Consider the following 12,713-nt stretch of genomic DNA (forward strand, 5'->3'; position numbering starts at 1 on the left):
AAACCTGACAAAAAGAAGAAATGGGGAAAGGATTTCCCTATTTAATAAATGGTGCTGGGAAAACTGGCTAGCCATATGGAGAAAGCTGAAACTGGATCCCTTCCTTACACCTTATACAAAAATTAATTCAAAATGGATTAAAGACTTAAATGTTAGACCTAAAACCATCAAAACCCTAGAAGAAAACCTAGGCAATACCATTCAGGACATAGGCATGGACAAGGACTTCAGGTCTAAAACACCAAAAGCAAAGATAACAGAAGCCAAAATTGACAAATGGGATCTCATTAAACTAAAGAGCTTCTGCACAGCAAAGGAAACTACCATCAGAGTGAACAGGCAACCTGCAGAATGGGAGAAAATTTTTGCAATCTACCCATCTGACAAAGGGCTAATATCCAGAATCTACAAAGAACTTCAACAAATTTACAAGAAAAAAAATCAAACAACCCCATCAAAAAGTGAGCAAAGGAGATCAACAAACACTTCTCAAAAGAAGACATTTATGCAGCCAACAGACACATGAAAAAATGCTCATCATCACTGGCCATCAGAGAAATGCAAATCAAAACCACAAAGAGAAACTATCTCACACCAGTTAGAATGGTGATCATTAAAAAGTCAGGAAACAACAGGTGCTGGAGAGGATGTGGAGAAATAGGAACACTTTTACACTGTTGGTGGGACTGTAAACTAGTTCAACCATTGTGGAAGACAGTGTGGCAATCCCTCAAGGATCTAGAACTAGAAACACCATTTGACCCAGCCATCCCATTTCTGGGTATATACCCAGAGGATTATAAATCATGCTGCTGTAAAGTCACATGCACACATATGTTTATTGCAGCACTATTCACAATAGCAAAGACTTGGAACCAACCCAAATGTCCATGAATGATAGACTGGATTAAGAAAATGTGGCACATATACACCATGGAATACTATGCAGCCATAAAAAAGGATGAGTTCATGTCCTTTGTAGGGACATGGATGAAGCTGGAAACCATCATTCTGAGCAAACCATCGCAACGACAGAAAACCAAACACTGCATGTTCTCACTCATAGGTGGGAACTGAACAATGAGAACACTTGGACACAGGAAGGGGAACATCACACACTGGGGCCTGTCATGGGGTGGGGGAAGCGGGGAGGAATAGCATTAGGAGATACACCTAATGTAAATGACAAGTTAATAGGTGCAGCACACCAACATGGTACATGTATACATATGTAACAAACCTGCACATTGTGCACATGTACCCTAGAACTTAAAGTATAATAATTAAAAAAAAAGAAAGTTGTCTTCTAAAATTCTTGCCTTATTTGAAAATGGAACAAACCAGTATAAAATCTCCATGTTTCCTGGAAGAATGCTATCTCTGCCTCCGGTATCTGACTTGGAATAAAAGAAGGGAGGAATTTACCTAAATCTAAGTGTCGGCAGTCCTGGAGTCAGCAGGGGTTACCTGGAGGGCAGAGTGCTATACAAAAAGAATACGATCTTTGGGAATGGTATTTTTCCTTGAAAGAATACTAGGAAAATCTAAAGGTTTCAAACCATTCCAACTTTTGAAAGATAGTTTAAAGTTGGACTAAATCAGCTATATAAATCCACAGCATTATTCTGAAGATTTCTTTGCAAATTCCTAGAATTTTATCTCTTTACAAGTGTTTTATCTGTTGGAATAAAAAAGAGGGTGTTTAATTTATTAACTTGGTTTTATGTAACCTTTTGCTCAACAGAAGTTATTGCTTTTTACAATATCTACTCTCTATCTTTTACCTTCACAGTTTATGACCCTAGTGTCAGGCTTAGACGTGCCTTCACTAACCCCAGATCATAAAAATGAAAAAACATATTCTCTAAAATTTCCCCTAGGAAAGCTAATATTTTCTTCTACTTTCTTGTGTCTTCTTTTCTGATGGTATTATGGTTTTATTTTTAATTTCAGCATTTTTATTTAAATTTTCTATCAGATTGATACTGATAAAATATTTTAAATACTCACAAAATGAGACATCAGTTAATACCATTCAGATTTCACAATTTTTAAACAGTTTTAGGATATCTGCTTCATCAAAACATTAAATAAATGGACATAACTGAAGACTCCCCCCCATCAGAGGTATCCAAATTTGGCGTGTGTTATTTCCATACATGTTAGATTTTTTTATGTTGTTTTTCACATCCGCCAAGTTCACACACACAGATCGACTTCATTTTAACTGCTGGATATTATTTCACTGTTTGAAGAAATCAGTTTATTCATTTGTCCTCCTGAGGGGCCTTGAAATTGTTTGACTTTCTCATTTTTAGAAACAGTGCTAAAGAGTAAATCTTTATATGAGCCACGTTTCGCATATGTTAGTGATTTTCTAGGACTGAAACATGTAAGTGGGATTGCTGGGTCACAGGCTGTGTTTTGGCTTCAAGTTTACTGGGAAACAGAAATTAAAACTCCCACTGACAATGTAGAATTTCCATTTCTACATATCCTTGCCTACTGATGTTTTCAGACTTCTAAAGTTTTCCCAAATAAATGGGCATGGGGTGCTAACCCAGTGATGTTTTGACTTACAATGTGCATTTCTCTGAAAGAGAAATTTCAATGTTTATTGGTCATGACACTTTCCTACCAGCTAGCTTTGCATATTTTACAAGTCTTTTATTTATCCAAAATTTACTTTTGGCCATGGTGTTTGATAGCAATGAAATGGTATCATTTACTATATAAATTGTCACAGCAAGCCAGGCATGGTGGCTCACACCTGTAATTCCACCACTTTGAGAGGCTGAGGCTGGTGGATCCCTTGAGCCAAGCAGTTCTAGACCAGCCTGGGCAACATGGTGAAACCTTATCTCTACAAAAAAATTTAAAAAAAAATAGCCAGGCATCGTGGTGTGTGCCTTTAGTTCCAGCTACTTGGGAGGCTGAGGCAGGTGGGTCGCTTGAGCCCAGGAGGCAGAAGTTGCAATGGGCCAGGTTGTGCCACTGCACTCCAGTCTGGGTAACACAGCCAGACTCTGAAATTAGATAGATAGATAGATAGATAGATAGACAGACAGATAGATAAAGATAGATAGACAGGCAGACAAAAATTGTCAGAGCAGCCTTTTAAAATTGTCCATTTTATTCTCACTAAATTGTAATTCTACTTCCATTATATATTCCTATATATGTGTGGGTCTACTTCAAGGTTTTTCATTCTGTTCTCTAGTTTACTTGAATATCTTTGTCCCAACATCACACTAATTTGCTTTACCTTCAAAATAAATCTTCAAGTGTAGTGGGACACCATATCCTTCCATTATCTTCATTTATAATCATGTCATATGTATTTAAACTTATATATTTTCATAGTAATATTTGTATTAGCTTGCCAAATGCTGTGAAAACCTTCTTGGGATTCTCATTAAGATTATACTGAAAGCATAAATCATTTGGGGGTAAGCTGATATCTTTATGGTATTCCATCTTCCCTTCCATGAATATGCCATATATATATATCTCTTTTTATATCCATTAATAATTTTCTCCATCAATATCTCATACATTTCTTCTTAGATTTATTCCTATATGCCTTTTTTACTATTTTAAATATTATAGTTTAAAACTATATTTTCTAAGGGCTGATGATTGATATGTAGGAATTCTATTAATTCATTTTATATACAGCAATCTTCTAAATTTTGACTAAAGATTCCTTTAGATTTTCTACTTAGACAATCATTACTTGCAAATAATCTAAACTATGCTTTTTGCCCAGCTCTTATACTACTTTTCTTACTCCAGTAGCTAGGATCAGAAGTACAACAATAAAATGAGGCAATGACAGAAGGCGTTCTAGTCTGGTTATGGTTTTTAAAAGGAATATTTCTCACATTTCATCATTAAGTACAATGTTTACTAAAGATTCTTAGTGGGGATATCCTTTATCAATTTAAGGAAATTTCCATTTTTTAAAAAAATTATAAACTAATATTACATTTTATCAAATATTTTATACTATGTGTGTTGCGGGAAGTCAGGGACCCTGAACAGAGGTACCAGCTGGAGCCGAGGCAGAAGAACATAAATTGTGAAGATTTCATGGACATTTATCAGTTCCCAAAATTAATACTTTTATAATGTCTTATGCCTGTCTTTACTGCAATCTCTGAACATAAATTGTGAAGATTTCATGGACATTTATCACTTCCCTAATAATACTCTTATAATTTCTTATGCCTGTCTTTACTTTAATCTCTTAATCCTATTATCTTTGTAAGCTGAGAATGTACATCACCTCAGGACCACTATTGTACAAACTGATTGCAGAACATGTGTGTTTGAACAATATGAAATCTGATTGTAAAATATGTGTTTGAACAATATGAAATCAGTGCCCCCTGAAAAGAACAGAATAACAGCAATATTCAGGGAACAAGGGTGACTGCTTGCAGGGTCAGGCAGAATACAGCCATATTTTTCTTCTTGCAGAAAGCCTATAAACGGATGTGCAAGTAGGAGAAATATCGCTGAATTCTCTTCCCAGCAAGGAATAACCCTGGGTAAGGAATGCATTCCTGGGGGTAGGTCTATAGACTGCTGCTCTGGGAGTGTCTGTCTTATGCGGTTGAGATAAGGACTGAAATACGCCCTGGTCTCCTGCAGTACGCTCACACTTACTAGGATTGGGAAATTCCAGCCTGGTAAATTCTAGTCAGACCAGTTCTCTGCTCTCGAACCCTGTTTCCTGTTAAGATGTTTATCAAGACAATGCATGCACAGCAGGACATAGACGCTCATCAGTAATTCTAATTTTGCCTTCTCCTTGTGATCTTTATTGCCCTTTGAAGCATGTGATCCTTGTGACCTTCTCCCTGTTCATGCACCCCCTCCCCTTTTAAAATCCCTAATAAAAACTTGCTGGTTTTGTGGCTCAGGGTTGTCATCATGGTCCTACCAATATGTGGTGTCACCCCTGGAGACACAGCTGCAAAATTTCTCTCTTTGTACTCTTTCTCTTTATTTCTCAGACCAACTGACACTTAGGGAAAATAGAAAGGACCTACAGGGCTCTTTTGGGGGCTGGTTTCCCCGATATATGTGTATTGAGATTTGTTTTCCCCTTTAATCTATTATTACTGTCAATTATATTAATGATTTTTCCAATGTTAGGCAGTCACTGCATTCCTGGAATAAATACCACTTTAAATAAGCCTTATAAATGTGGGCTGGTACACAGCACCAAGATCTTGGTTTCAAATAACTCTGTCCATTAACAGGAACCAGGTGACCTTGGAAAAATTGCTGATTCTAAGACGGGGGTAAGAAATACCCAAGATAAGCCTGGAGCATCTTACAATGCCAGAAAGAAAGAAGAAGTGCTAAGAGAAAAAGGAAAAACAACAACGACAACAACAACAACAACAAAAAACAAGATGGGAGCATGTCAAAAAGACCAAAAGCTAGGATAAATTGAGCCAAAAAATAAAGCAGTACTGCTTTACAATGCAAAGTATAAAATAAATACCAATGCAGTCATATAAATAAATGATTGAATAAATAATAAGGAAGAAGAGACAAACATCCCATGCAGGAGAATTCAAAATAATTTCTGTAGATATTCCACCCTCAATGAAGTGGAGCATATTTCCCATGTCCATAAGTATGCGCTACACATAGTGACTTCCTCCCAAAGAGTACAGGAGAGAAAGGGTGGTGGGGTGGCAAAGAGTAACTTTACAGCAGAGAAATCTGACAGACACTACTTCCGCCAAATGACCAAGATTCATCTCAACAGTGACAAGCTGGGCCAGGTGTGGTGGCTCATGCCTGTAATCCCAACACTTCAGGAGGCCAAGGCAGGCAGATCACTTGAGCCCAGAGGTTCGAGACCAGCCTGGACAACATGGCGAGACCCTGTCTCTACAAAAATAACAAAAATTATCTGGGCATGGTGGTTTGCACCTGTAGTTCCAATTACTCAGGAAGCTGAGGTGGTAGAAACTCTTGAGCCCGGCAGGAGAGGCTGCAGAGAGCTGACACTGTACCGCTGCATTCTGGCCTGGGCAACAGAGCGAGACCCTATCTCAAAACAAAAAAACAGTGACAAGTCATGTTGATAATATATACTTTTGATATGGTGTGATAAAAAATGGCAATTTAACTCATGGTTTACTTCCCAAAAATATACCCAAATCTAATCGTCAGAAAAACATCAGACAAATCCCAATGAGACAAATGCCACAAAAAACCTAACCAGTACTTCTTAAAACTACCAAGTTGTCAAAAACAAGGAAAGCCTGAGAAACTGTCAAAACCAAGAGAAGCTTTAGGAGTATGATAAGTAAATTTAATGCGTTTCTTGGATTGGATCCTGGAGCAGAAAAAGGACACTACAGAAATCTGGATAAAGCATGGACTTCATTAATAGTGTATCAATATTAGCTCATCAACTATGACAAGTGTACCATGCTAATGCAAAGTATTCATAATAGAGAAAACTGGGTAGAAGATACACAAAAACACTCTAGACTATATTTGCAATTTTTCTGTAATAAAAAGTGTTTATTTTTTAAAAGTGAGTTGAGGATCTCATTTTCTATTTTCAGGACTAGTTTGCGTAACAGAACTTTCAACAGAAACGTATAAGCAGTCAAGTAATTGATGCAGGTTGATATGAGCATTTGTAATATGGTAAGGGTAGTAATAAAGGCTGCACTGTTCATTAAATGATGTCGAAAAATTAGCTATTAATTTGGGGAAAAATTTCTCTCTGATCTCTACCTCATGTCAAAATAATTCCATCTGAAATTTGCAAAAAATTACATTAAAAAACTATAAAAGTTCTAGAAGATAATGAGAATGAATACCTTCATACTCTTGGGGTAGGATGGACCATTTTTATGCATACCAATATTGAAGACAACACTGAAGTGTTAAGGACAGAAGAGGCCTCTCAGTAAACTGAGCCAGTGATATTTCAGCACAAGCTGAAACAACCTCCCAGAATGAACAGAAATATAATCTCAGAGAGTTTGTAAAAAATACTGAACAGTAAGTATGAAAAACGGTGGTGGCATTTATTTCCTGGAAGAGGAAATTAAGAACAAAGAAAACAAATATAAAACATCTAGTATGCTGAGGAAAGTTGCCAAAAATAAAGATCTGAGTTAACAGAACAAAAAAGCAGACAAAATTGACTAAACAAACAAACAAACAAAAAAACAGTGAAGTAACATGTCCAAGCTAACATTACTTAGGTAACTACTGGTGGGGATGGACTTTGGATCCAGGCTGGTCTCACTTTCAAGCTCGCATTACTTCTACTTCTACATATGCGCTCACTTAGCCATTAAAAAGAAGTCATCTTCTTTTTAGAAGAAAATGCAGTGTGGTACCCTGTACTGGATCCCAGATCAGAAAAGGAACATTGCTAGAAAAACTGCTCTAATAAAGTCTTAAGTTTAATTGTAGTAGTATACCAATGTTAATCTCTTAGTTTTGACAATTACATCATAGTTATGTAAGATGTTTAATGCTAGGGGAAACAGAGTAAAGGGTAGGCAGGTGTGTAACTTTTCTGTAAATCTAAAATTATTTCAAAATTAAAAGCTTATTAAAAAATAAAAGAAATCTCAGCCAGGTGTGGTGGCTTATGCCTGTAATCCCAGCACTTTGGGAGGTCAAGGCGGGATTACCTGAGGTCAGGAGTTCGAAACCAGCCTGGCCAACTTAGTGAAACCCCATCACTACTAAAAATACAAAAATGAGCTGGGTGTGGTGGTGAGCACTTATAATCCCAGCTCCTTTGGAAGCTGAGGCAAGAGCATCGCTTCAACCAAGGAGGCAGAGGTCGCAGTGAGCCGAGACCGGGCCACTGCACTCTAGTCTGGGCAACAAGAGTGAAACTCCATCTCAAAAATAAATAATATAATATAATATAATATAACATAATATAATGTAATGTAATGTAAAATAAATCTCTCAAAATGCTGCTTTGGGACTATCTTAAAACTTGTAAGTGTAGAGATTTATTGCATAAAACCAAATTTTAAAGAGGCATGCTTTGTATTGAAGATTTTGATTATAACAGGTTTGTTGATGACTTTAAAAATAAATATCAGCCTCAATTTAATTATATAGCTTTTCTGTAAAGACTGCTTACATAATTTCTTCTATACCATTTTTCCTTTCATGTGAATAAAAATATAAAAAAAACTGTAAACAGTAGTCTCTAAATACACATGGTGATCTAGTTGTGATGAACTGTTTTCCATTTCTGCTACAGACGTAACAAAAGTTCTGTGAAACAAACCTTGTAACAGCAATAATTAAATTTAAAGGATTAATAGAACAGCCTGATTTTTTAGGAGCTGTCAGATACTGAAAGAATCAGGACTTCAGAAATAAATGAATTCTAGGAGCAGAAAAGCTGAAGCATATAATTAAATAGAAAAGTCAGAAGAGTTTGACTATGCAAAGGAACAGGGAGAAATAGTTACTGAGGAACAGGGAGAAAAACTAAAATAAATTAATGAAAGTCAGGGCTCATGGTGTCTCCAAGGAATTGAAATGTGACAAATCATGGAATGGGAAGGGAGATGATAAGAATAAATATGAATAGTATTAAGTTCAATCACTTAATACTTAGGCCTTGTTAGAAGCCCTCCAATGGTTCCCATCTCTCAAAGCATGAGTCAGGGATCCGTTGAGACCTTGAGGGTGCACCCATTCCCCCAACCCTCCCTACCCCCCCAACCCCATCACTTTTTTCTTTCTCTTTTACTCTTCACCTTCTCCCCTCACTCCTCTCAAGCCAGCCCTGCCCGCATGCAGTCCCCTGGCACTCCAGGCCTTTACATTTGCTGATACCCCTGCCAGAATCCCCCTCCCCCAGACATCCCCATGGTAAAAACTCCTTCACCTACTTCAGGTTTTGCTCAGATACTAACTTTTCAGTGATTTACTACTATGCCTGTTCTATTTTATTTATTTATTTAGAGACAGGGTTTTGCTCTGTCACCCAGGCTGGGATGCAGTAGTATGATCATGGCTCACTGCAACTTCTGTCTCCTGGGCTTAAATGATCCTCTTGCCTCAGCCTCCCAAGTAGATGGGATCACAGGCATGCACCACCACGCCTGGCTAATTTTTTATATTTCTGTAGAGCAGGGTTTTACTATGTTGCCCAGGCTGGGCTCAAACTCTTGAGCTCAAATGATCCTCCTCCAATGGCCTCCCAATACTATGCATGTTCTATTTTAAATGGTGAGCTCCTATAACTACCAAACTCCCCTACCCTGCTCTTTTATTTTCTCATAGCTGCTTCTATGTCCTAACATTTTAATTACATTGAATATCTGTCTCACCAATCACTAGACTGTAAGCTGTCAGATTTTGCCTGTGTTCACTCTTTCTCCAGTGCCTAGAATAGTGCTGGGCACATAATAAATGGTTTTTTTATAAACATTTGCCTAACCAATCAATACAAACGTGTGATTTTTCATTACCATAATTAAAATTAGAATAATGAAACATTCGTAACTTTTCCAAAGTCATTTTTTGAGCAACTGGGCTTGTCCTTGTGCCTGTGTTTTCTGGGTATTTTCTACACTGAACTTCTATAATGTTTTAAAAAGGGGTTTTGTCTTTGTAAAAGACTAGACAGCTGTCTGAGATCATTTCAACTCAAGTACATTCAATGTCAGAGTGAGAAAGAATTAAAGTTCATTCTTTCAAGGCCTGTTCTTCCTGTGAGCTTAAATGAAATTTAGTTATTACCTGAAAGAGATTCATATCACGAAAACTTCACACGGGCAAATGCTCAAAATCATGATCCACTAAGTTAAAGGAATCACAAAATTCCCACCTTCCCATTTTAAAGATGAGGAAACTGACCTACGAAAGTTAAGTTACTTCCTCATATTCAACTAGAACGTCGCTGACGAAGTGGTGAGCAGGAGCTAGTCTTAAACAAAAGACTGAAACATTACAGAATGACCTAGCCCATCAACATTTTGAAATGCAGTGAAAAGTCCAGATTGGAAATGCTCAGTCCACCATCCAACTAGGCCTTTATTTTCTCCCTCTTGTTTCCATTTCATTGCTCAAAGATGCTTGTGAAAGTTTCCTTATTTATTTGTTTGTTTTTGGGAGACAGGGTCTTTGGAGTGCAATGGCACAATCTCGGCTCGCTGCAACCTCCGCCTCCCAGGTTCAAATGATTCTCATGCCTCAGCTTCCTGAGTAGCTGCAATTATAGGTGCCCACCACCACGCCCAGCTAATTTTTGTATTTTTAGTAGAGACAGGGTATCACCATGTTGGCCACGCTGGTCTCCAGCTCCTGACCTCAGGTGATCTGCCCACCTCGGCCTCCCAAAGTGTTGAGATAACAGGCGTGAGCCACCACACCCAGCCGTGAATGTTTCTTCATACCATTTGAACATTCAAGATTCTTTCTGCATTAAGATCCCTAGCAAAATAAACACTGTGATCACCTTCCTAAGTATTTTAGCATGTTCAAGGGCCACTGTGCCTTCCAGACCCCACTCAACATTTGGCATCTTACTCTAGCCCTTTGATTTCCCTGTTGACAGAAGTATGAGGCCAGCATATTTTACAAATGTCTTACCCTTTTCAGTGGATGGCCTGTCAATTAACTCTCATGAAATCAAATGGAAGCAGACTTCAGGGTATAAAAATGTACTACTTATCTAATTCTTTTACTGAAAGCTTGCACACATTCCATTGTTTTTCCATAAGTGGAGGAAAAAATAAATCTGGTGCTGTATTTTCGTTTCAGAAGTAGCAACAGCAGTTACTCCACGCATGCATTCCCCAGGTCCCCAGACAGTCATCTCTGATGTTATAAGAGGCACAGAGGCAGATACTTCGGCAAAGACAGTCTATAAAATGAAGTTGCTATGGACCAAAATAACTGTATTGATTTTTAGTACAATTCAAAATACAAGGAAACATCAGTTTTCCAAATGGCACAAGCTGAAAAGGACAAGGAAAAATATATTGCAAATAGTGAAGAGAAGGAAAATAATAAAGACAATTACATTAGCAAACATCTTGGTGTTCTTTTTTCAGAACACTAAGATGGCTGTTGTTTGTTTTTTAAGTTCAAAGAGCTGAGAGGTTTGAATTATGTTGAACTGTTGCTCATTTGTGGACATTGTGCCCACTGCTGGAAGTCTGACCTTCAGAAAACAAAGCCTTATAATCCTTGGACATGTGAACATCTTATTTAAAGCCTCATTTTTTTTTCAATTAATATCTCTCACTCTGATGGCAAATGGCAGAGCTGTATAAATTCTATTATAAATACATCATTTGCCAAAATATCATTAAGTTTGCTGCAAGCAAATATTTTCCTTAGATATCCTTAATGAGGCAAAGTAGCTTTCAAGCCAGAGACCTCTGGATGTTGTGGAATGAGGGGACGGCAGTCAGGACTTACCATGGCCCCCTCACTTGTTCTTTGGGCAACTTCTCGCTGTAGTCGGGCCACTGCCAACTTCTCCCTGAAGAAACAAAAACACATGATTAGTTGACCATTCTCAGGGTAGAGGTGACACTGGCATGGCCGTGAAACATTCTTTTGAGGTCTCTAGAGGAATTCCTTCCTTGGTTTAGCTCACTTCCTCCTCTATACTTTCTATAAATATTTAAACTGATTGGTCATGAATGCATTGTTTTCATTGAGTGTCATGAAATTTGCCATAGATTTTACAATAGCCAAATAAACGTTAAATGGTGAGTAGATGCTTTGCTTTTAGTTCATTAACATATATCACTCACAAATAAATTTTTCATGGCTATAGTATTTTAGTTGACTTTTCTCTATCAACTTTGCTTAAGCATTTTTAATTATTTTTATTTCTTTTGTTGCTCTCCACACCAATAATATTAAGAAGCAAACAAAATATAACTCCTTACTACTTTTAAAATAACAATAGAAAATCATTTGCATGCTTGCTACATAACAGGCATCATGCTGGGCAATGCACCTGTTCTCATTTGAGCCTGACAACAATCCCATGGGTGATTTCATTATGCCCATTTTATAGATGAAGAAACTGAGGCCCAAAAAGGCTAATACACTGAGTCCTCAGCTGGTATATAGTAGTTTTTTGGAATCAAATTTTAGATTTCCTTACTTCAAAGCCTAAATAAAAAGTCTGCTTATCATTTCTTCAGTGTGTAGGTAATATAAAATGTAGACTTAAAAATCAGATTATTTATTTATTTTAGTACTCCTTATTTAACAATGGGGTTCATTTTTAGATCCCTTATAATTCTGCTTTCACTTAAAATATATCCAATATTCACCAAAATTTTTAGAATACTTTTGTAAAGTGATAGATGACTGCATTTTGGACAGCTTTTCAATTGTTCTTTAAAATAATTGATTAGATGTCATAGGGGTAAGTGAATTCTTCTGGTAATCCCTAAAATGTTAGCTTTAGTAAGTATTTCCCCTGATATTCTTCTACTACTATACTACTATCAAGATGAGAAATTATTTGAGTGACATTTCATCCCTTAGTCTTCTCTTTGCCCAGGATCAGCTATATGCAATCAGCTATATGTAAACATAAAGGATGCAGTTCAATCCCCAGAAAATTTTCCCACTGGGGAAAAGAGAAGTGAAAACTTCTTCTCTCCTAAGTGCTTGGATCTTTGAAATGCCTAGGACTACCAAGAAGACACGTG

At 37.2% G+C, this 12,713-nt stretch overlaps 1 protein-coding gene across 19 annotated transcripts in view; it reads right to left on the reverse strand.

Moving 5' to 3' along the window:
• Positions 1–12,713, reverse strand: part of NCKAP5 (NCK associated protein 5) — a 1,003,049-nt gene that overhangs the window by 530,471 nt on the left and 459,865 nt on the right. For all 19 annotated transcript variants that reach the window (XM_017003975.3, XM_011511100.4, XM_047444134.1 and 16 more), the window contains one exon: positions 11,458–11,521. In XM_017003975.3, coding sequence (XP_016859464.1) covers positions 11,458–11,521 — 64 coding nt within the window. The remainder of the gene's footprint in view (positions 1–11,457; positions 11,522–12,713) is intronic.

The sequence above is a fragment of the Homo sapiens genome, chromosome 2 (genome assembly GCF_000001405.40).
Source record: "Homo sapiens chromosome 2, GRCh38.p14 Primary Assembly".
NCBI lineage: Eukaryota > Metazoa > Chordata > Mammalia > Primates > Hominidae > Homo > Homo sapiens.